Source organism: Homo sapiens, chromosome 6 (genome assembly GCF_000001405.40).
Source record: "Homo sapiens chromosome 6, GRCh38.p14 Primary Assembly".
Lineage (NCBI taxonomy): Eukaryota > Metazoa > Chordata > Mammalia > Primates > Hominidae > Homo > Homo sapiens.
Window position 1 is genome coordinate 89055673 of NC_000006.12, and position 24292 is coordinate 89079964.

A 24292-nucleotide genomic window follows, 5' to 3' on the forward strand; every position below is an offset into this window, starting at 1 on the left:
AATCTTGCTTTTTCACATATGAAAATCTGGAAAAGAAAGAAACCGTATGCACTGAGCAAATAGAAAATTTGGCACTTTTGAGAACCTGGTGGCAATGGTGTTGCTGTTGTATCAAAGTAATAAGGGTGAGTGAATTTTGAGAGATAAATTATGCCTGACCATTGGAACCAGTGAGCAGCCGAGCATGTGACAGCAGTAAGCCTCCAAAACCTAATTTTTTGGAAAAACAAGCCGATCAGCTTACAACCAGTGTTTATGATTTTTAATTTTCTTTTTCAAGAGACAGGGTCTCCTTCTGCCACCTAGGCTGGAATGCAGTGGGGCAATGATAAATATTAGTAGCACCTCTGTAGCAGAAACTACTGTATCAAAAAGAAGTATAGGATATTCTTAGATGTTCATCTAAAATATGGATTTTAACCTGTGGTAAATGTGCTCAAACCAAAACCTTCTCTTGAGAATATCCTGACCAAAAAATGGCCAGAGATTTTGTTCCTGCAGCCAGAAAAATCACTCATATATGTCAGATGAGGGTGTAGTATATAGACTATATAAAGAACACTTACATCTCAATGACAAAAAGACAACCCAATTAAAAAATGGGCAAAGGATTTGCCTTAGTCTATTTGGGCTGCCATAACAAAATATCATAGACTGTGGCTTATAAACAACAGAAATGTATTTCTTACAGTTCTGGAGGCTGGAAGTCTAAGATCAAGGCACTGGTAGATTCATTGTCTGGTGAGGCTTCACTCCCCCATAGACTATCATCTTTTTATTATAACTCACACAGTGGAAGGGGGCAAAGGATCTCTCTAGGTTCTCTCTTATACAGGCACTAACCCATTCATGAGGGTTCTGTCCTCATAACCTAATCGCCTCCCAAAGGCCCTTCCTCCTAGTATCACCACCTTGTGGATTAGAATTTCAACGTATGAATTTGGGGAACAGACATTTAAGGACTTAAATTTAAGGATGTTTAAGGACTTAAATAGACATGCTCACTTCGGCATCACATACACTTGTTTGTTCATTTTATATATTTTTTATTTTTATTTTCATCTTGAGACTGGGTCAGGAGGCTGAGGTAGGAGGATCACTTGGACCTGCGAAGTGGAGGCTGCAGTAAGCTGTGATTGTGCCACTGCACTCCAGCCTGAGTGACGGAGTGAGACCCTGTCTTAAAAAAGAAAAAAAAAATCATGTTGTTGTTTGAAGTAAAGTAAGTACTACCAGGTCTAAAACAATCCCAGAGGTCTCCTGGACTCCCTCTAACCACCCTTGCTTCCTGTCTGCTCCCTCCTCCCCCAGACAACCTTTCAATCCTTCTTCTTCCTTCAGTGTATACCTTCATATTTTAAAATAAAATGCATATAGTTTTATACACACACACACACACACACACACACACATATATATATATATATATATATATATTTTTTTTTTTTTAGACAGAGTCTCGCTCTGTTGCCCAGGCTGGAGTGCAATGGCACAATCTCGGCTCACTGCAACCTCTGCCTTCCAGGTTCAAGCGATTCTCCTGCCTCAGCCTCCTGAGTAGATGGGATTACAGGCATGCACCACCATGCCCGGCTAATTTTGTATTTTAATAGAGACAGGGTTTCACCATTTTGGTTAGGCTGGTCTCAAACTCCTGACCTCAAGTGATCCACCCACCTCGGCCTCCCAAAGTGCTGGGATTATAGGCGTGAGCTGCCGTGTCTGGCTAATTTTTTTGTATTTTTAGTAGAGATGGGGTTTCACCATGTTGGCCATGCTGGTGTGGAACTCCTGACCTCAGGTAATCTGCTCACCTCAGCCTCCCAAAGTGCTGGGATTACAGGCATGAGCCACTGTGCCTGGCCTGTATAGTGCTATAATTTTTATATCTTGGTTTTAGATATAAACTGATGACTTCTACTGTGAAGATGAGGTTTTTAGCTCTATTATTACCCAGAATGTCATCTAAAGACATTTAAATATATACATACATTCTCCTTCCCCATCCTCCTAATAGTTATGTCCTAAGTTTGAATTCTATTGATATTTATGTTTACATATATAATGAATTGTGCTATAGAGACCATTTCTTGTACTTTTTCTTTTTTGCAATTAATAAGTGCCTTACACTTGCTTGAAGAAGTGAATGATATGCCTTCCCAAAATATACCAAATTGGTATTTTGATTATTTTGAGTTGAAAACATTGGAGATGTTGTAGTTTTGGAAAGGGCGAGCTGACCATCTTCTCCCGCATGCAGCAAGCCATCAACATTCCTCTGGGAGGGGCACTCTCCTGCACAAGGCTCAGAAAAGAGCCATTATCCCAGAGTGGGATTGCAATGTACCTGACAAATATATTTATGGAAATCACCCTTATCTTCCATATATCTCCTAGTGACACCCCTGGAAATGTATTGCTCCTACTCAGGTCCCCTTAGTCCTGTGTTTTCTTCTCAGATTCATCATTCTTTGTCCCAAAAGTATAAAAAAAACTGTCTTGCTTTGGCCATTTCTTTGGACTTGACGCTCTTGTGAAGATCCCCATGTATGTGTAATACTAATGAATTTGGGCCAGGTGCGGTGGCTCACGCCTATAATCCCAGCACTTTGAGAGGCCAAGGCAGGCGTGTCACTTGAGGTCAGGAGTTCGAGACCAGCCTGGTCAACATGGTGAAACCTCATCTCTACTAAAATAAAAAAATTAGCCAAGTGTGGTGGCACATGCCTGTAATCCCAGCTACTCGGGAGGCTGAGGCGGGAGAATCACTTGAACCTGGGAGGTGAAGTTTGCAGTAAGCTGAGATATTACCACTGCACTCCAGCCTGGGTGATAGAGGGAGACTGTCTCAAAACAAAACAAAACTAATGAATTTGTATGCTTTTCTCTTGTTAATCTGCATGGTGTCGATTTGGTTTCTAGAACCAGCTGAAGAACCCACGTAAGACCAACAGGGGTACTAGAAGTGATCTCTGGCTCTCCTACACTCTTTTCTTTAACCTCATTTTTTATTTACCCAGTATTTATTCATCCCCAAGATCTCTGCCAGAAGTGTACATCTCTTCTTAAGTTCTCCAAACATACCGAGAATTCCAGCAATTTCATCTTCTTCTTTGAAACCTTCCCCTTGCCCCAGGACTCATCTGTCCTCCTGCTGCAGGCTGGGCTAGTCGGCTCTCTCGCCCTGTTGTACAGATGCCATATGGAGACTGCTTCTTACCCTCCCCCCAGAAATTCCTCTCACTCTTCTCCTGAGTGAGCTCTCATGCGTCCTAGATTCCATGTCTTATTCTTTCTTGGTTTACTCTCTTCAGTGAAGCACTTCTTCCGGTAGCTTCCTGGAAAAGACTGCATCGGGAATAAATTTCTTGAGGTGTTATGTGTTTGGAAGATTTTTATTCTACTCTTATGTCTGATTGACAGTTTGGTAGGAAACAGACTTCTAAGTTGGAATTAATTTACCCTTGAAATTTTGAAGTCATTGTTCATTGTCCTCTAGCTTCAAACTGAGATTTCAGATACTATTCCAATTCTGATGCTTTGTGTGTGACCTGTCTTTCCCTTAGAAAGACTGTGGGCTGAGAGTGGGGCTCACGCCTGTAATCTCAGCACTTTGGGAGGCCGGCGTGGGAGTGTCACTTGAGTCCAGTTGTTTGAGACCAGCCAGGGCAACACAAGGAGATTCTATCAATACAAATAATTTTTTTTTTTAATTAGCCGGGCATGGCAGACGCCATACTAAAAGCCAAAATGGCTGCCCCGAGGAAGCGCGCACCGCGTAGCTAGTGAAGGTTGGGGAGCAAGCTTCTGCGGGAAAGAGGGAGGGGTTCTCCAGGAAAAGCCGTTGAGAGGACCATCACACCCCAAGCAGCACAGGTTCCAGTTACAGCCATCCTTTGTCATAAGTCATAACTTTTGAACTATATTTGGAAAAATACTGGCCAAGAAAGAAAAAATGATAAAATTTTTCCTCATGGTGAATAAACAAGGGCAGACTCGACTTTTTAAGTACTATGAACATGTGGATATTAATAAGCATACACTTCTGGAAACAGAAGTCATAAAGAGCTGTCTCTCCTCGATCCAATGAACAATGCTCTTTCATTGAATTATAAGGATTTTAAGCTGATATATCGGCAGTATGCATCTCTCTTCGTTGTGGTTGGAGTTAATGACACTGAGAACAAGATGGCTATTTATGAATTCATTCATAACTTTGTGGAAGTTTTAGATGAGTATTTCAGCTGAGTAAGTGAATTAGATATAATGTTTAATTTGGATAAAGTACACACAATTTTGGATGAGATGGTGTTAAATGGCTACATTGTGGAAACTAACAGGGCAAGAATTCTTGCCCCTCTACTAATTCTTGATAAGATGTCAGAAAGCTGAAAGGAAGTCTCTTCCAGACAACATGGATTTATCAGAAATGCGAGTACCATGGAATACATCTCAACATCTGTAACCCAGAAGAATATGGAAGACCACAATTACAAAATGGGGTATCCTTCCAAAGACATTATAAATAGGCATTTTCCACAGTTCCTAAAAATACAACAAAACTGTACTTTAAAATATGTACAAAAGAAAAAAATTTTTTTAAACTGAGAGCGAAGTTTTACTTTCTAATTGTAAACATATCTTTCCTACTTCTTTAAATTCTGTTGAGCACCTAAGGAACCCTTCTTGGTCTGTGCTGCTTTTTGCAAATTGAATTCAGGAATAGCAGGATGGTAGTGGGAAGAAAGTATGGCAGTTTTCTGTCAGCCAATGAAGTTTTAAAATTTAAACACAAGGCATTTTGAGTAACGTTGTTTTCTGAAGGCTGTCTTTTTTTTGAGACGGAGTCTAGCTCTGTCACCTGGTGCATTCTCGGCTTGCTGCAGCCTCTGCTTCCTGGGTTCGAGCGATTCTCCTGTCTCAGCCTCCCAAGTAGCTGGAACTGCAGGCATGCGCCACTACACCTGGCTAATTTTTGTGTTTTTAGTGGAGATGGGGTTTCACCGTGTTGGCCAGGCTGTTCTTGAACTCCTGGCCTCGGGTGATCCGCCCGCCTCGGCCTCCCAAGGTGCTGGGATTACAGGCATGAGCCATCACGCCCAACCTCTTAAGAGGTGTTTTGTTTTTGTTTTTGTTTTTTTTTAAGAGAAGCAGGTCTTGCTGTGTTGTCCAGGCTGGACAGCAGTGGCTATTCACAAGCATGATCATGTTGTACTACAACCTTGAACCTTGTGGGCCTAGCTTTAAAAGCTTTGTAATGTGGGGCTGGTGCAGTGGCTCACACCTGTAGCCCCTGCACTTTGGGAGGCTGAAGAGGGAGGTTCGAAATTTGAGACCAGCCTGGGCAACACAGACCTCGTCTCTACAAAAAGTGCAGGGGTTAGCCAGGTGTGGTGGCGCATGCCTGTGGTCTCGACTGCTTGGGAGTCTGAGGCAGAAGGATTGCTTGAGCCCAGGAGTTCAAGTCTGCAGTGAGCTATGATCGTGTCACTGCACTCCAGCCTGGGTGACAGAGCAAAACCCTGTCTCAAAAATAAAACAGTCCGTGGGTGGAGGCTCAGGCCTGTAATCCCAACACTTTGCGGGGCCACGGCAGGAGGATTGCTTGAGCCCATTAGTTCAAGACCAGCCTGGGCAACACAGCAAGATCATATCTCTACAAAAAATAAATAATTAGCCAGGTTCGGTGGCTCATGCCTGTAGTCCTAGCACTTTGGGAGGCTGAGGTAGGCAGATCACTTGGGGTCAGGAGTTTGAGACCAGCCTGGCCAACATGGTAAAACCTTGTCTCTACTAAAAATACAAAAAAAATTAGCCAGGCATGGTGGCAGGCGCCTCTAATCCCAGCTGCTCAGGAGGCTGAGGCGATAGAATTGCTTGAACCCGGGAGGCGGAGGTTGCAGTGAGCCGAGATCATGCCACTGCACTCCAGCCTGGGCGACAGAGCGAGACTCTGTCTCTAAAAATAAATAAAGAAATAATTAAAAAGTTAGCCAGCTGTGGTGGTGAGCACCTATACTCCTAACTACTCAAGAGGCTGGGTGGGAGGATTGATCAAGTCCAGGAGTTTGAGGCTACAATGAACTATGATCACAACATTGCACTCCAACCTGGGTAATGGAGTGAGGCCCTGCCTCAAAAAAAACAAAACAAAACAAAAAACTTTTATAACGTGTACCTAACAAAGATTGCAGAGTTAAATTTTATTTGCCAGTTTGTAAAAGCCTTTGATATTCATTTTAAGGGCACTTAGTAATTACAATGCCATTATGTAATTAACTCTATAGAGAACATTACTTCCAAATAATGGATGGTCAGACATTAAGAGAGCCCCAGAGAGTCCCTACAGCTATCCTTTATGTCCCCTTTTTTGTTTGTTTTTTGGAGACAGCATCTCCCTCTGTCTCCCAGGCCGGAGTGCAGTGGTGTGATCACGCCTCGCTGCAGCCTCTGCCTCCTGGACTCGGGTGGTCCTCCCGCCTCAGCCTCCCGAGTAACTGGGACCACAGGCGCGCACCCTCTCCACCCAGCTAATTTTTGTATTTTGTTGTAGAGATAGGGTTTCGCCATGTTGTCCAGACTGGTCTCGAATTCCTGCGGTCACATGATCCATCTGCCTTCGCCTCAGGCCTGAGCCACTGTGCCCAGTCTTTTTATGCCACATTTTAAAGGGTTTGCTTATTACCAAGCTTACTGTTAATGAAATTTAGTTCAAAGTTTAAAAGTAGAATGCAGCCAGGCACAGTGGCTTATGCCTGTGATCCCAGCACTTTGGGAGGCCGAGGTGGGTGGATCATTTGAGGTCAGGAGTTCAGGACCAGCTTGGCCAACATGGTGAGACCCTGTTTCTACTAAAGATGCAGAAAGGTTAGCTGGGCATGGTGGTACGCGCCTGTGATCCCAGCTGCTTGGGAGGCTGCGGTGGGAGGATCGCTTAGGCCTGGGGGGCGGAGGTTGCAGTGAGCTGAGATTAAGATCGTGCCACTGCACTCCAGCCTGGGCAACAGAGCAAGACTCTGTCTCAAAAAAAAAAAAAAAAAAAAAAAAAAAAAAAAAAAAAAAAAGTAAATATCTCCCATCTCAAAAAAAAAAAAAAAAGTAGAGTGCAAGAAAATGTCTCTGTACAGGTAGGCGTGAAATGAATCCTTCTCTTCCTGCCTTTTACTCCTTTAACCCCGTCTCCTGCAATGTCTTGAAGTAAATTACTGTCATTACAGAAGAGCAACACACTGCATCCCCCCAAAACCTTTCTATATGCTTTTGCTACCCAGTTAACAGAAGAATATACAGAACTATCTTAGGCGAAAATATGTACAGTAGTCCCTCCCTTATCCACTGTTTTGCATTCTGTGGTTTGTGTTACTCATGGTCAACTAAGGTCCCAAAATATTAAAAGAAAATTCCAGAAATAAACAATGCATAAGTTTTAAACTGCAAAAATAAATAAATAATAATATTTTAATTTTTTTTCTTCCTTCCTTCCTTCCTTCCTTCCTTCCTTTCTTTTCTTTCTTTTGAGACGAAGTCTCATTCTGTCACCCACGCTGGAGTGCAGTGGCATGATCTCAGCTCACTGCAACCTCCGCCTCCCAAGTTCAAACTATTCTCCTGCCTCAACCTCCCTGAGTAGCTGGGATTACAGGGGCATGCCATCACACCCAGCTAATTTTTATATTTTAACTAGAGACTGGGTTTCTCCATGTTGGTTAGGCTGGTCTCAAACTCCTGACCTCAAGTGATCAACCCACCTCAGCCTCCCAGAGTGCTGGGATTACAAGCATAAGCCACCACGCCCAGCCTCTTTTTTTTAGTTTATAGCATGTGGGGTGAGAGAGCACAGATCCTGGAGGTACTGCAATACCAGGTCTATGTGTGGAGTGGATGGAGCATGCTCCTATTCCATCTCCCTGCTCCAAAAATCCATTTAATATATTGTCCTCAGACAAAGGACGTATCAGATATTAAACTGATAAGAAGAGACACTGTACTTGATCTTAGGCAAAAAGCCAAGAAGCAATTTTAAAAAGGTGTTAATGATCATCTCTTTTTATTATTACATTTCTTGATGTAGGACTCATTTCACACATGTGCTGAGCACTCAGTGAGCTACTTCAACCTGCAGACTCACGTTTTTCAGTTCTGATGTATTTGCATAAATTATTTTTTTGTTAATTTCCTCTCTTCATTTACTCTGTTTTCTCTGTCTGAAATTCCTATTTGAAATATTGGGCCTCCTGGACAGATCTTCTTTCTCTTTTCCTTCTTTTCAAATTCTCCATCCTTAAATTTTACTTTCTGGGAGATTGTCTTAAATGTGCTTATATTTTTCAATTTCAAATTTTTATTTCTGTCACAATAAATATTTTAAATTTTCCTTCCTTCCTTCCTTCCTCTTTCCTTCTTTCCTTCCCTCTCTCCCTTCTTCCCTCCCTCCCTCCTTCTTTCTCTTTCTTTCCTTTTCTTTCTTTTCTTTCTTTCTTCTGTCTTTCTCTCTCTCTCTCTCTCTTTCTTCCTTTTTTTTTTTTTTTTTTTTGACAGGGTCTTGCTCTGTCATGCAGGCTAGACTGCAGTGATATGATCATGGCTCACTCTAGCCTTGACCTCTTCGGCTCAAGTGATCCTCCCACCTGAGCCTCCTGAGAAGTTGGGACTGCAGGTGCATGCCATCACACCTAGCTAATTTTTTATTTTTTGTAGAGACAGGGGTCTCCCTATGTTGCCCAGGCTGGTCTTGAACTCCTGGGCTCAAGTGATCCTTCTACCGCAGCCTCCCAAAATGCTGGGATCACAGGCGTGAGCCACCATGCCCAGCTAGAGGAGTTTTCTTTCTTTGTTTTTTTTTTTTATTATACTTTAAATTCTAGGGTACACGTGCACAATGTGCAGGCTTGTTACATATGTATACATGTGCCATGTTGGTGTGCTGCACCCATTAACTCGTCATTTACGTCAGGTATTTCTCCTAATGCTATCCCTCCCCACTCCCCGCATCCCACGACAAGCCCCAGTGTGTGATGTTCCCTACCCTGTGTCCAAGTGTTCTCATTGTTCAGTTCCCACCTATGAGTGAGAACATGCGGTGTTTGGTTTTCTGTCCTTGCGACAGTTTGCTCAGAATGATGGTTTCCAGCTTCATCTATGTCCCTACAAAGGACATGAACTCATCCTTTTGAGAGGTGACAGCGTGCTGGCAGTCCTCAGAGCCCTCGCTTGCTCTCCGCACCTCCTCTGCCTGGGCTCCCACTTTGGCGGCACTTGAGGAGCCCTTCAGCCCACCACTGCACTGTGGGAGCCCCTTTCTAGGCTGGCCAAGGCCAGAGCCTGCTCCCTTAGCTTGCAGGGAGGTGTGGAAGGAGAGGCGTGAGCGGGAACCTGGACTGCGCGCCACGCTTGCGGGCCAGCTGGAGTTCCAGGGGGGCGTGGGTTTGGTGGGCCCCGCACTTGGAGCAGCCAGCCCTGCCCCTGGCCAGGCGGGGCGCCCGCTCCAATCCGACAGACTCACAGGAACCCATGGAGGCGGGGGAAGGCTCAGGCATGGCGGGCTGCAGCCCGAGCCTCCCCGACAAATGCCGCCCCCTGCTCCAGGGCGCCCAGTCCCATCGACCGCCCAAGGGCTGAGGAGTGCGAGTGCATGGCGCAGGACTGGCAGGCAGCTCCACCTACAGCCCCGGTGCGGGATCCATTGGGTGAAGCCAGCTGGGCTCCTGAGTCTGGTGGGGCCTTGGAGAACCTTTATGTCTAGCTCAGGGATTGTAAACACACCAATCAGCACCCTGTGTCGAGCTCAGGGTTTGTGAGTGCATCAATCGACACTCTGTATCTAGCTGCTCTGGTGGGGCCTTGGAGAACCTTTATGTCTATCTCAGGGATTGTAAATACACCAATCGGCACTCTGTATCTAGCTCAAGGTTTGTAAACACACCAATCAACACCCTGTGTTTAGCTCAAGGTTTGTGAGTGTACCAATCGACACTCTGTATGTAGCTGCTCTGGTGGGGCCTCGGAGAACCTTTGTGTCCATACTCTGTATCTAATCTGATGGGGACAGTGGAGAACCTTTATATCTAGCTCAGGGATTGTACACCCACCAATCAGTACCCTGTCAAAAGAGACCACTTGGCTCTACCAATCAGCAGGATGTGGGTGGGGCCAGATAAGAGAATAAAAGCAGGCTGCCGGAGCCAGCAGTGGCAACTCGTTCAGGTCTCCTTCCACACTGTGGAAGCTTTGTTCTTTTGCTCTTTGCAATAAATCTTGCTGCTGCTCACTCTTTGGGTTCACACTGCCTTTATGAGCTGTAACACTCACCGCAAAGGTCTGCAGCTTCACTCCTGAAGCCAGTGAAACCACGAGCCCACCAGGAGGAACGAACAACTCCAGACGCGCCGCCTTAAGAGCTGTAACACTCACTGCGAAGGTCTGTAGCTTCACTCCTGAACCAGCGAGACTACGAACCCACCAGAAGGAAGAAACTCCGAACACATCCGAACATCAGAAGGAACAAACTCCAGACGCGACCTTTGGAGTTAACAAACTCCAAACTCCACCTTAAGAACTGTAACACTCACCGCGAGGGTCCACGGCTTCATTCTTGAAGTCAGTGAGACCAAGAACCCACCAATTCTGGCCACACTTTTTTATGGCTGCATAGTATTCCATGGTGTATATGTGCCACATTTCCTTAATCCAGTCTATCATTGATGGACATTTGGGTTGGTTCCAAGTCTTTGCTATTGTGAATAGTGCTGCAGTAAACATACGTGTGCATGTGTCTTTATGGCAGCATGATTTATAATCCTTTGGGTATATGCCCAGTAATGGGATGGCTGGGTCAAATGGTATTTCTAGTTCTAGATCCTTAGTTTTCTTGAAGTGACTCTCTTATCTATTACTGCACAACAAACTACCCCAAAACATAATAGCTCAAAATAACCTTGAAGAAGACAAAAGGGATATAGAGAGGAACCACTTTATTTGCTCACAATTTTATAATTTGGGCTAGGCTCTGTGGGTCAGATTTTCGGCTGGGTGTGGTGGCCCACACCCCTGATCCTACCAAGTTTTTAAATTTTTTTTTATTGCATCTTGTTTTTGTTTCATGTATGTACTATATTCCTAACACACTGAGGCTATTAATTAGAGGGGCTTTAAACATTTTTTCTTCTGCTGTATTTATGTCCTACAGGTTCCTTTTATTCCTATTTAATTGTATGTGTGGTTTGATTCTCAAAAATTAAGTCACCCTTGCCTGACTGCTTACACTTTAGGATATTGCAGTAAGAGGCCGATTGTATGCTCTGAGTTTGTTGGGACTCAGAAACCAGTATCCCAAAATATAGTGCTTTGATATGCTGAATGGAAGAAGCTTCAAGTTTTCTCTGACGACACTCTCCACCATCTCTCCCAAAGCACGGGATCAAGCTGAAGTTCCTTCATCTGCCTAAGATCCAGACCCACGAAAAGGAACAATTTTTTTCTTCCTCTTCCTGTAAGACCACATGTGAAGAGACTCTTTCAGGAGATAATGTAGAAATTAAGCTCTGTTCCCCTATCACTCATTCTCTTTACTAATCCCCTAAACAGAATGCTGCTGCTTCTTCCTCCCACAGCCTTTTTGTCTGGATGATATATAAGTTTCTAAACTCCCCTGTGGAGTAAGTAATCACTCTGTGATTCTCCCCAGGTAAAATTTCTATGCCTTTTCTCCAATTAATGTCTTTTGTGAGCTGATTTTTCAGCAAACCTTCAGAGGGCAAAGAGCAAGTTTTCCCTTGGCCCCTGCAGTTCACTGGCTTGTGGACTTCCCTATGGGATGATCTATCTATCTATCTGGCTGGGCTCTATGGTTTTTGTTTTTGTTTTTGTTTTTGAGATAGGGTTTTTAGTCTGTCACCCAGGCTGGAGTGCAGTGGCACAATCATGGTTCACTGCAGCCTCAACCTCCCAGGCTCAAGTGATCCTCCCACCTCAGCCTCCTGAGGACTGCAGGCCCATACCTCTATGCCCAGCTAATTTTTTACTCTTTGCAGGGGTAGGGGTCGCCCAGGCTGGTCTCCAACTCCTGGGCTCAAGTGATCCTCTGGCTGGACTGTATCTTAAAGAACATTAGAAATTAAAGAATATGAGTGTCAATATTTAAACTAATCACATTATATGCACTTGCATATGTTAAGAATAACTGTAATATGCTAATTTACTAGTTAAGCTAAAATATCACCCTCTTCTCTCCCCTGAAACTCAAAAAGCTAATGCCATCATTTTAGATATAGCATTTATAGCAATGAGTCATATTTGGCTGTGAATCATAATCAATGTCTCAAATAAAACTTGGCAGAATATCAGCCACACAGGTTCATCCTGAGCTTTCCTGTGAAGGTGGCTGTGCTTGTTCTTCAGCTCTGAAATCCAAACACACTTCTGGTCTTTCTCTGTGTGTTCAGGAATTTTAAAAATGACATAACTTAGGGAATGTCAGTTTTGTCTTCTTGTACAAACCTTAGATTTTTAAGGATGAACTAAAAACATGATAAAGATAACTCGCTGGGCGTGAGGGTTCACGCCTGTAATCCCAGGACTTTGGAAGGCTGAGACGGGCAGATCACTTGAGGCCAGGAGTTCGAGATTAGCCTGGCCAACAGGGTGAAACCCCGTCTCTACTAAAAATACAAAAATTAGCTGGGCATGGTGGTGCGTGCCTGCAGTCCCAACTTCTTGGAGGCTGAGGTGAGAGAATCACTGGAACCCGGGAGGCAGAGGTTGCAGTGAACCAAGATCATACCACTGGACTCCAGCCTGGATGACAGAGACCCTGTCTCAAAAAAAAAAAGATAACTCAGGCAATGTCAATTTGATTGTTCTGCACAAATCCTAAATTTTTCTGGATGTTATAAGGACATGAAAATGTTCTTTTCTTAGTATGAATTGCCAGAAAATCATTAATCAAATCTCATTTTTCTTCTTATGTTCCAGTGTTACAAACTAAAGAAAAAACTCTATACAGTCTCACTCAGGTTAAAAAATTACAAGCATTTCTCCAAAACAAGTGTTCGTTTTCTAACCTTTTACTATCACATAGTTGAAAGAGCTCTACAGTCTGAAATTTTATTCTGTCATATCATTTTAAATTCAAATACTGTAAAAATTGGGGCACTGCAGTATTTTGTAAAAATGAAATATGCTATTTCCCTTATGGAATTGTTGCTGACTAGAAGGACAGGAATGAACTGACTGTCCTGAGGCCTGAAAAGTAAATGAGATTTGGCAGGGTATGTTTCAATCCATTTTCCTTAATTTATTTTAAACTTCTTGAAAATAATTTTACTCTCATTCTGGAGATGTCAAGTGAAATAACCAAGGATAACTAGAATGATAAATAAATAGATTTCCATATTTTACACAAGAGTAGGAACACTTTTTGTATAAATAGTTCACTGGCAACTAAAAAGCAACTTAGTTATTTGGGGATTCTTTTGTTTTTAAGAGAGAAAACATAAAATTTCAATTCATTAGAATTTTTTTTTTCTTTTTTGGGGGAACAGAGTCACTCTGTTGCCCAGGCTGGAGTGAAGTGATACAATCATGGCTTACTGCAGCCTCAGCCTCCCAGGCTGAAACAATCTTCTCACCTCAGCCTCCTGAGTAGCTGGGACTATAGTTGTGTGCCATCATGCCCAGCTAATTTTTTAAATTTTTTGTAGAGACAGGGTGTCACTATGTTGCCAGGCTGGACTCAAACTCCTAGCCTCAAGTGATTCTCCTCCTGCCTCAGCCTCCCAAAGTGTTGAGATTACAAGTGTGAAACCACTGTACCCAGCTTCATCGGGCTTGAAAGTGAAGAACATGAAAAATAAAACCTGGTTGGGCACGGTGGCTTATACCTGTAATCCCAGAACTTTGGGAGGATGTGGTGGGAAGATCACTTGAGCCCAGGAGTTCAAGAGCTGCCTGAGCAACATAGCCAGACCTTGTGTCTACAAAAAAATAAAAAATTACCCTGGCTTGGTGGCGTGAGCCTCTAGTCCCAGCTACCCAGAGACTGAGGTGGCAGGATTGCTCGAGCCAGGGAGGTCAAGGCTGCAGTGAGCCATGATCGCACCACTGCATTCCAGCCTAGATGACACAGTGAGACCTTGTCGCAAAAGAAAAAAGGAAGAAAGGAAGAAAGGAAGGAAGGAGGAAGGGAGGGAGGGAGGGAGAGAGGGAGGGGGAGAGAGAGGGAAGGAAGGAAGGAAGGAGAGAGAGAGAAAGAAAGAAGGAAGGAAGGAGAGAGAGAGAGGGAAGGAAGGAAGGAACGAAGGAAGGAAGGAAAAGAGAGAGAGAAACAGAGACAGAAAGAGAGAGAAAACCTTACTAAACCAGGATAATCAGACGGGCACGGTGACTCAAGTGCTGTAATCCCAACACTTTGGGAGACTGAGGCGGGTGGATCACTTGAGGTCAGGAGTTTGAGACCAGCTGGGTCAACATAGTGAAACCTCGTCTCTACTAAAAATACAAAAATTAGCCGGGCATGGCAGCAAGCTTCTGTAGTCCCAGCTACTCAGGAGGCTGAGGCAGGAGAATCGCTGGAACCAGGGAGGTGAAGGTTCCAGTGAGCTGAAACTGTGCCACTGCACTCCAGCCTGGGTGACAGAGTGAGACTCTGTCTCAAAAGAACAAAAAATCACAGCTAGGTGCCATGGCTCACACCTGTAATCCCAGCACTTTGGGAGGCCAAGGCAGGCAGATCACTTGAGGTCAGGAATTCAAGACCAGCCTGGCCAACTTAGTGAAACCCTGTCTCCACTAAAAATACAAAAAAATCAGCCAGGTGTAGTGGTGGGCGCCTGTAATCCCAGCTACTCGGGAGGCTGAGACAGGAGAATTGCTTGAACCCAGGAGGTGGAGGTTGCAGTGAGCTGAGATCGCAACACTGCACTCCAGCCTGGGTGACATAGTAAGAATCTGTCTCAAAAAAATAAAAATAAATAAATAAATAAATAAGATAGTCATATTTTCTTTCCAAATTGTCCTGTTGATTTTCATATCCCTGTCAAAGCTATGGTTCCTCTCAAAGTCAACTAGATTTGGAAATTCAGGAGCCAATCTTTTACTCTTCTTTCTTCTCGCCTCTCCTGACCCTCATATTTCCTACCCTGTCTGGTCTCCCAGCTTGACCAATGTCACCAGTTGGGAGGGAGGGAGGGAAGGAAGAAAAGAAGGAAGAAAGGGAGGAAGGGAGGGAGAGAGGAAGGAAGGAAGGAATTCAGTTTTCCAAGAGAAGTCAGAGATTCCTAGAGTTGCCCTAGGATTCTTACTTCCTGAAGTTGCCCTGGATTTCTTACTTTCATTCCTAAAAAAACTCCACCTCATAAAACTACTACATTGGCCTGGCCAATCCTCTCAATGCTTGTCTGTCCATAGTTTCTGAAATGGACCTAAGTGGGTCCTTATAGACAGGTGTCTCACCATCCTGGCCAGAAGCCATCCAGCACAGGTCTAGTAAAAGAGTTCTGTTGAATGTAGATGATATTGACTAATCATCCAATTATCCTGTCTGGACCAATCCATATTGAACCAATCAGCTTCCCTCTCTCTGGAATTTGAACTTTAGGTAAACAGCAAGCTAGGTGGTGGTGATAGTAGAAGTAGAAATACAGAAAAAGAACAAACAGAAAGAGTAGTTGAGTCTTTTAGAGTAAAGCTCAACAAACATCTGCTAAGAAGTAACAAATAACCTAGTAGTTAAGGCTACATTGGATCTTGAATCAATTTTGAGTTTCCAAATGTCATTTCAAGTCGGTCAGGTACTACATCATAATTTTTGTTCCTTCCATGAGTTCTGGGTATGAAGGTTTTCCTGGTATCTTATGAGGCCTGGTATGTGGTCAGTCTTCTTGTCTTCCTTATGTCTATGTGTGCATATCCTTAAAACAACCCATTACTTTAGGTAACCTGAGTTAATTCTTGCAATGAAGAAAAAATAATATAAACAATAATCTCTCTCTCTCCCTGTCTCTCTCTCTTTGTTTTTGAGATGGAGTCTCACTCTATCACCCAGGCTGGAATGCAGTGGCATGATCTCGGCTCACTGCAACCTCTGCCTCCTGGGTACAAGCGATTCTCCTGCCTCAGGCTTCCGAGTAGCTGGGATTACAGGTGCCCGCCACCATGCCCGGCTAATTTTTGTATTTTTAGTAGAGACAGGGTTTCACCATGTTGGCCAGGCTGGTCTCGAACTCCTGACCTCAAGTGATCCACCCACCTCAGCTGCCCAAAGTGCTGGGATTAGAGGCATGAGCCACCGTGCCTGGACTCCTGTATCCTATATATATTTTATAATAAACCAGTAAATGTATGTGTTTCCCTGTGTCCTGTGATCTGTTTTAGCAAATTAATCTAACTCAAGAAGAGGGTAGAGGGAAGCCTGGCACAGTAGCTCATGCCTGTAATCCCAGCACTTTGGGAGACCAAGAAGATTACTTGAGCCTATGAGTTTGAGACCATCCTGAGAACAAAGTGAGACCTCACCTCCACAAAAAAATTTTAAAAATTAGCCTGGAGTAGTGGCATACACCTATAATCCCAGCTACTCAGAAGGCTGAGGTAGGAGGATTACTTGAGTCCGGGAAGTCAAGACTGCAGTGAGCTATGATAGCACCACTACACTCCTGCCTGGGTAAAAGAGCAAGACCCTGTCTCAAAAAACAAACAAACAAAAAGTATAGGTGACAACCTACTACTTGTCATTGGTGTCTGAAGTGGTGGCAGTCTTGTGGGACTGAGCCCTTAACCTGTGGGATCTGACTCTAACTCCAGGTAGACATGTCAGAACTAAATTGAATGATAAATATAGGACACACAGTTCTTGTCCCCTAAAGTGCTTGCTGTGTGAGGCAAAACTCCATGCATCAGGTGACAGAAGTGTGCTGTGTTGATTGTTGTGAGTGTGTGAGTGGAGAGTAGGAAAAACAGTTTGGTTTTTCCTATCTCAGGTCTCATGAGGAACAATCCGATGTTGATCCCTGATGCCTAGATTTTGCTGCTTTTTCTTCATTTAAAGAAATAAAGATTTCTTACAGAATAGAATAGCTCACTCCATGTCTTGGGTCAGAGAAAGGCCAAGATAAGTATGGAACATCTTGTTATGGATATAAAGCAAAAATGTTCTTAAAAATATTTGGGAGAAGTGCTAAAGAGACAATAGTGAGGGAGGAGAAAAGGAAAAATTTAGCAGACAGCTAAAGCTAGTCTTTGGTAAAATTCTTTTAAACAGAAAGACAGCCTGAGAAATCAAGCTAAAGGCACAAATAGAGCAGCCTGGGGAAAAACTCACGTTGCAGCTGCACAGAAAAGAAAGCAAGGCCCAATATAGAAGCTTTTGTTCTTGGTGTAATCAGTTGGCTCCCAGGAAAAAGTTTCCTCCCCTTTTCAGGCATGTACACGGTGGGCTCCAGGGGAACTTGTACAGAGAGTGGGGGTGCTTACCCAAAACATATCCACAGTTGCACAAATGAGAAGCTGTGCTTTGTGTTTGCCTAAAGACATGTCTGCAGCTGCACAGATAAGGGGAGTTACACAGACAGCTTCACATATAAGGGAAGTTACACAACAGCTACAGAGAAGAGAGGAGTGTCTTACAAAAGCTTTGTATTCAACTGTAAAAACGGCAACCCACTCGGACTCCCTCTCTGCTGTGGAGAACATTCCTCTTCTGCCTATTAAACTTTTGCTCCCACCTCACTCTTGGTGTCCACGTTCCTTAATTTTCTTGGTTGTGAGACAAGGAGCTCAGGTAATACTTCAGGCAACAAGACTGCTACAATAGAAATATCTTGGCTTTCATTGGCTACACCCTAAGGTTTGAGCAAAAAAAGGGAAATGATTATAGATAATTGAAACTATTTGAATCTATTAAAGTCCATAATGATTCTCCAAAGGGAAAATTTAGTAATAAACAGTTTGACTATAAAAGATAGTGAATGTGATAATATAGATGTTAATTTTTTTAAAATTGCAGAAATAAAGTTATGTGTATGGATGATTTTTTTAAAATCTAAAGCATATATTAGTTTATAAAGCACAGACATGACTTTCCTTGTGAAAGAAGGGAGAGAAGAATAGCGGGAACTGAGAATCAGTCAAGCAGTCCTGGGAAAAAAATTAACCATACCAAGAACAGAAAGAACTACTCCACAGCATCTGTCACACCTACCAGCCAGGCAGAAGGAAGATCCAATAGTCAGTCAGCACCAGAGTCACACAGGACCATGTAGAAACAGAATTCAATAATGTGTTTCAAAATGAAGATTTGCCTAATCAAATGCCGTGAAGAAGACAGCTGACTGCACATTCTATCCCTGCCTCATGCATGATGAACCCTTTCAATGACTCTATTAATCATAACAAGTTAATGAGGCAAAATCAGTCTACAAAAATGGTTAACAGGCCAGGTCAATACATAATGATAAGAAACTAGGTTCTGCAAGGCTAGCCAACTGAAACTTGAAAAAATACACCGTATTTCAGGGAGAGGCATCAATTTACTAGAAATTAAAAGTTCTGCAGGGCCAGGGGCATTGGCTTATGCCAGCGCTTTGGGAGGCACTGGTGGGAGAACTGCTTGAGGCCAGAAGCTCAAGACCAGCCTGGGCAACAAGCAAGACCCTGTCTCTATAAAAAATTTAAAAATTAGCTAGGTGTGGTGGTACTTGCCTGTAGTCCCAGCTACTCAGGAACCTGAGGTGGTAGGGTTCCTTGAGCCCAGGAGTTTGATACAGTGAGCTACGATCGTGCCACTGCACTCCAGCCTGGTCAACAGAGCAAGACCCTATCTCCATAAACTAAATAAAGAAATACATTCTGCAAATGGCAAGGATTTTTAAAAGCTTGATCAATGTATACAATGAGAGCAAGGCTCAGGTAAGGAAGGCATAATGGAGACTGTTACCCAGCTAAGATGCAATTGGTTAAACATCAGCTGGTCTAAATGACATGCTTTTTCTATTTTTTTTTTTTTTTTTTTTTTTTGAAACAGGGTCTCACTCTGTCACCCAGGCTAGACTGCAGTGGCGCAATTATGGCTCCCTGCAGCCTTGACCTCCTGGGCTCAAGCCATCCTTCCACCTCAAGTCTCCTGAGTAGCTGGGATGACAGGTGGGCAACACCACATCCAGCTAATTTTTGTGGGTTTTGCCATTTTGCCCAGGCTGGTCTCAAATTCTTGAGCTCAAGTGATCCTCCCACCTCGGCCTCCCAAAGTTTTGGGATTACAGGCGTGAGCCACTGCACCCGGCCATGACACGCTTTTTCTTTTGGTTTTATATCTAGGCTGAAATAGAATCAAATGTCCATCATTATTATTGTACCCTAAGGTTGCCACTAGTCCTTTTGACACCTTCATACCAATAAGAAAAAGCCACCTTAGTCCATTCTGGCTGCTAAAACAAAATATCATAAACTGGGTAGATAACAAACAACAGAGATTTATTTCTCACACTTCCAGAGACCGGGATGTTCAAGATCAGGGTGCCAGCTGGTCAGGTTCTGGTGAGGTCCCTCTTCTGGGTTGCAGACTGCAGACTTCTTGCTGTGTCCTCAGTGGTATAAGGAGGAGGGGCCTCTGTGGCCTCTAATCATATGCATGAGGGCTCCAACCTGATGACCTAATCACTCCCCAAAGACCCCACGTCCTAACATTATCACACTGGTTATTAGGTTTCAACATAGGAATCTGGGGAAGACACAAACGTTCAAATCATAGCGATGCCCAGATGGCCCCAGCCCTTGGGAAGATGTCTTCAAGAGCAGAGTCAAAGCTCTGTTTCAGCTCTCCCTTGACTCTTTGGCCAGGTACCCTCATGCAAATTATAACCTGTACAAACCTGTAACCCCAGAGAGATATAAGTATAGGGATAATGGAGACATTAATTTCAATCTATGGTAACAATACTTTATAAGCACTCCAAGTGTCATAAATTTGTCATTATTGTGAAAATTTGTGCATATTTTGCTTTTTAACACAAATTTTAGATTTTTATTTAAACTCTTCAGAGTACATTATAAAATAAGTTTTGTAATCAATGCTGAAATGTTAGGAAAATTTTTACTTGCTAAACAAAAACATTTTGATTTCCTGGTTGTTTTATGTTTAGAAGACTATTATTTTATAAATTTGAAAGATTAATAATTTGAGCATTAAGCAAAACAGAAGGCCGGGTGCAGTGGCTCACGCCTATAATCCCAACACTTTGGGAAGCTGAGGCGGGCGAGTCACCTGAGGTCAGGAGTTTGAGACCAGCCTGGCCAACATGGTGAAACCCCATCTCTACTAAAAATACAAAAATTGGCCAGGCATGGTGGCATGCACCTGTAATCCCAGCTACTCAGGAGGCTGGGGCAGGAGAATCACTTGAACCTGGGAGGTGGAGGTTGCAGTGAGCCGAGCTGAGATCACACTACTACACTTCAGCCTGGGCAACAGAGTGAGACACCGTCTAAAAAAAAAAAAAAAGCAAAATAGAAGTTTGATTAAGTGTTCCTCTTTTCACACAGGTGTCCCTCACACCTTAGACATTACAGATCTAAGCAATAGGCTGGGTGAGGTGGCTCATGCCTGTAATCCCAGCACTTTGGGAGGCCAAAGTGGTTGGATCACTTGAACTCAGGAGTTCGAGACCAGCTTGGGCAACATGGCAAAACCCTGTCTCTATCAAACACGCACACACACAAATTAGCAGACATGGTGGCATGCGCCAGCTAGGGAGGATGAGGTGTGAGAATCTCCTGAACGCCAGAGGTGGAGGCTGCAGTGAGTTGTTATCGCACCACTGCACTCCAGCCTGGGTGACAGAGTGAAGCCCTGTCTCAAAAAAGAAAAAGAAAAAAAAATCTAAGTAATAATAGGTAGAAAAAATGGTAATAAAGTCTATATAAAGAGGAAAAAAGACATTCAGGGTAGGAGGAAAGAAAATGACATTTCATACAGAGAGAGGGAGAGAAAGAGGACAGAGGTAAAATACACGAGAGACAAAGGTAGATAGAAGAGAGAGAAGTGGAATTTGGAGTTCTGCTTAGTGTCAATGCGGGTAAGCTGCTTATTTCATAAATGGGCATTACCTCTTTTTTCTGCTATTTAATACCTAGTTTACTTTCCAATCTTTTATTTTTCTTCTAACCTCCTCTAAAGATTAGCTTAACAAAAATAAAATCAAGATGTACACTGGAGCAAAAAGCTTCAAGAACTCTGAGAATTCTCCTAAAATTTCCTTTACCCTTGGAATATCTTGTTACCTCCAAGTTTGGCCTTTTGGGCCCAAGCAAAAGGATCTGATTTTTTTTTTTTTTTTTTTTTTCCCTGAGATGAAGTCTTGCTCTGTCGCCCAGGCTAGAGTGCAGTGGCGTGATCTCGGCTCACTGCAACCTCTACCTCCCAGGTTCAAGTGATTCTTCTGCCTCAGCCTCCCAAGTAGCTGGGACTACAGGCATGCACCACCACAACTGGCTAATTTTTGTATTTTTAGTAGAGACAGGGTTTCATCATGTTGGCCAGGCTGGTCTCCAACTCCTGACCTCAAGTGATCCATCCACCTTGCCATCCGTGAGCCACTGCACCCAGCCTGATCTTTTTCCTTTATATCATATAGCACAGCTAACACTATATGTTTAAACCTGTAACGCTTAGGTTTAAACATTAAAATTAGACTTTACTAAAGACTAAGGGTTTACAAAGACTACCCACACAGAGTAACATTAAATCCAATCATCTGGCTTATAAAACCTCGACCTCTCTCTTCTAAGTGCCCCATTTCAGCTCCCATTCTGTTTCTTAGTGGTGGGCACCATTTTAGCAATCTCAGCACCCATCACCCAGGTGGTCACAGCTGCAAGGTTACTTTTCTTACAGTACAGAACCCAGGGCAAACATGAAGCCTACACTTAAGGCCTCAAAATGATAAGTTATACACATAATTACTCCAACAATCACCCAAGAAATACACATAGACAATAATAGGTATCTTTGACCAAGGGCCCCACAGAGCTGGCTACCAATGACCAGCTCCCTGAAGGGTAAATTATTCTCTAGGACAGTATGATATTATCCCCAGATAAAGTCAAGCCTAAAATCATGGGATATAGTGAAAAGAACACTGGACTAGGCATCAGGAGTTCGAGTTATTCCTACCTCATTTTGTGAACCCCCCCCCCCAAGCAAGTTACTATATATTTAAATTTATTTACACCATACGTTAAATAGGACCTCTCTATATCAACCTTAAAGTGCTAGAGTAAGAATAAAATGAGATGACAGATGGAAAGTGCTTTGAAAAAGTAGATTCTTTTACAGCTCTGGATGTCCATGATTCCCATCCATCCAATGAACATGAGCACTTACTATGCATTACATGTTGCAGAAACAAAAATGAGTAAAATTCAGCAATTGGAATGAAATGGAGTTTTTTTGGTTTCTTTTTTGTTTTTTGAGATGGAGTATTGCTCTGTTGCCCAGGCTGGAGTGCAGTGGCATGATCTCGGCTCACTGCAACCTCTACCTCCCAGGTTTAAACGATCCTCCTGCCTCAGCCCCCCTAGTAGCTGGGATTACAGGCACATTAGCCTGTATGCCCAGCTAATTTTTATATTTTTAGTAGAGACAGGGTTTCGCCATGTTGGCCAGGCTGGTCTCAAACTCCTGACCTTAGGTAATCCAGCCGCCTCGGCCTCCCAAAGTGCTAGGATTACAGGTGTGAGCCACCACGCCTGGCCTGAAATGTAGTTTTAAAAGCTTATAAGGTTGACTGGGTTTGGTGGCTCACTCCTGTAATCCCATCACTTTGGGAGGCTGAGACAGGCAGATGGCTTGAGCTCAGGAGTTTGAGACCGGCCTGGGCAACATGGTGAAACCCTGTCTCCACTAAAAACACAAAAAATTAGCCAGGAGTGGTGGTGTGTGCCTGTGGTCCCAGCTACTCAGGGGCGTGGGGGGCTGGGGTTGGAGGATCTCTTGAGCCTGGGAGGCGGCTGTTGCTGTAATCCGAGATCATGCCATTGCACTCCAATCTGAGTGTCAGAAAGAAACCCCGTCTAAAAAAAAAAAAAAGTTTATAAAGTGATTGGGAAGCATTTTTCTGGATATGCAATCTGTCCAACTTTGCCATCAATCATAAAACGTTTCATTGCTTACTAATTGCTTACTACTCCAAAGCTGAAAACTATTGTAGAGGCGGTGAGGATACAGAAGTGTAAGATTACTGTGGTCTTCTAATAATGTAGAATCTAGTGTGGCAGGGCTGGACGCGGTGGCTCACGCCTGTAATCCCAGCACTTTGGAAGGCCGAGGCAGGCGGATCACGAGGTCAGGAGATCAAGACCATCCTGGCCAACAAGGTGAAACCCCGTCTCTACTAAAAAATACAGAAATTAGCTGGGCGTGGCGGGTGCCTGTAATCCCAGCTACTAGGGAGGCTGAGGCAGGAGAATCTCTTGAACCAGGGAGACGGAGGTTGCAGTAAGCCGAGATGGCGCCACTGCACTGCAGCCTGGCCACAGAGTGACACGCCGTCTCAAAAAAAAAAAAAAAAAAATTAAAACTTTTGTCTTGCAGTACCTGGACTGGAGATCAAATTCTGATGTTAACTTACCGTTTGATCTTTGACAAGTCCTTTAGCCTTTCTAAGCCTGTTTCCCCAGCTGTAAAATGGGAATAAAATACAGTACTGTCCCTCCAAAAAGAAGCTGAGGCAAAATCAGGCCAAGCTTGAGGACTGCAACCCAGGACCATAGATTCAAGCTGCCCTGAATATACACTCGGATTAGCAAGTTACAAGTAGGTTTTTAAAGGAAAAGAGGCAGCTCCTAAATTGTTTACCAATTTACATTAAAATATCGTGGGCTCTTGACTAGCTATACATTGTTCTTTGTATCTTAAATTTCAGAAACTTAAAGATAATGCGTAGGCAGCTAATCAGGAACAAAATGCCTTTAAACAATTGCCCCAGGCATTAGTAGTGAAAGGAAGAGAATGACAGCCTGCCTACTTCGCAGAGCTGAGGTCTGATCTATTTTTCTTAGTACCTATTCGTAAGGGTTGTTGTGAGGTTAAAGTGAGACAATCTATGTAAAGAACAGTTCCTGGAACATAAATGCTTGATAAATTATGGCCACAATTCTTTTTTGTGGTTGAGCAGTGCGGGGAGATCGCGAAAAATTTCTATTTACGCGCAGCTAACAAAATACTCTATGTTGCAGAGCTGTTTCACTTTCTCCCTTTGAGACGCAAGCCGGCTTGCCGCCTCCTCAAGTAACCAGGCACAAT

General features: G+C 43.5%; 2 pseudogenes, besides 2 other annotated features; one reads left to right on the forward strand and one right to left on the reverse strand.

Annotated features, from left to right (window-relative positions):
* Positions 2012-2540: an enhancer, noted in NCBI's record as "OCT4-NANOG hESC enhancer chr6:89767403-89767931 (GRCh37/hg19 assembly coordinates)". NCBI's record gives its function as "activates a minimal SCP1, AML or CMV promoter by ChIP-STARR-seq in primed H9 embryonic stem cells {active_cell/tissue: H9 hESC(primed)}" and the evidence as "EXISTENCE:reporter gene assay evidence [ECO:0000049][PMID:30033119]".
* LOC100131124 (adaptor related protein complex 4 subunit sigma 1 pseudogene) lies at positions 3756-4250 on the forward strand (annotated as a pseudogene).
* Positions 7835-8018, reverse strand: RNU2-61P (RNA, U2 small nuclear 61, pseudogene; annotated as a pseudogene).
* Positions 24184-24273: an enhancer, noted in NCBI's record as "active region_24818". NCBI's record gives its function as "activates an Ori minimal core promoter by ATAC-STARR-seq in GM12878 lymphoblastoid cells {active_cell/tissue: GM12878}" and the evidence as "EXISTENCE:reporter gene assay evidence [ECO:0000049][PMID:35858748]".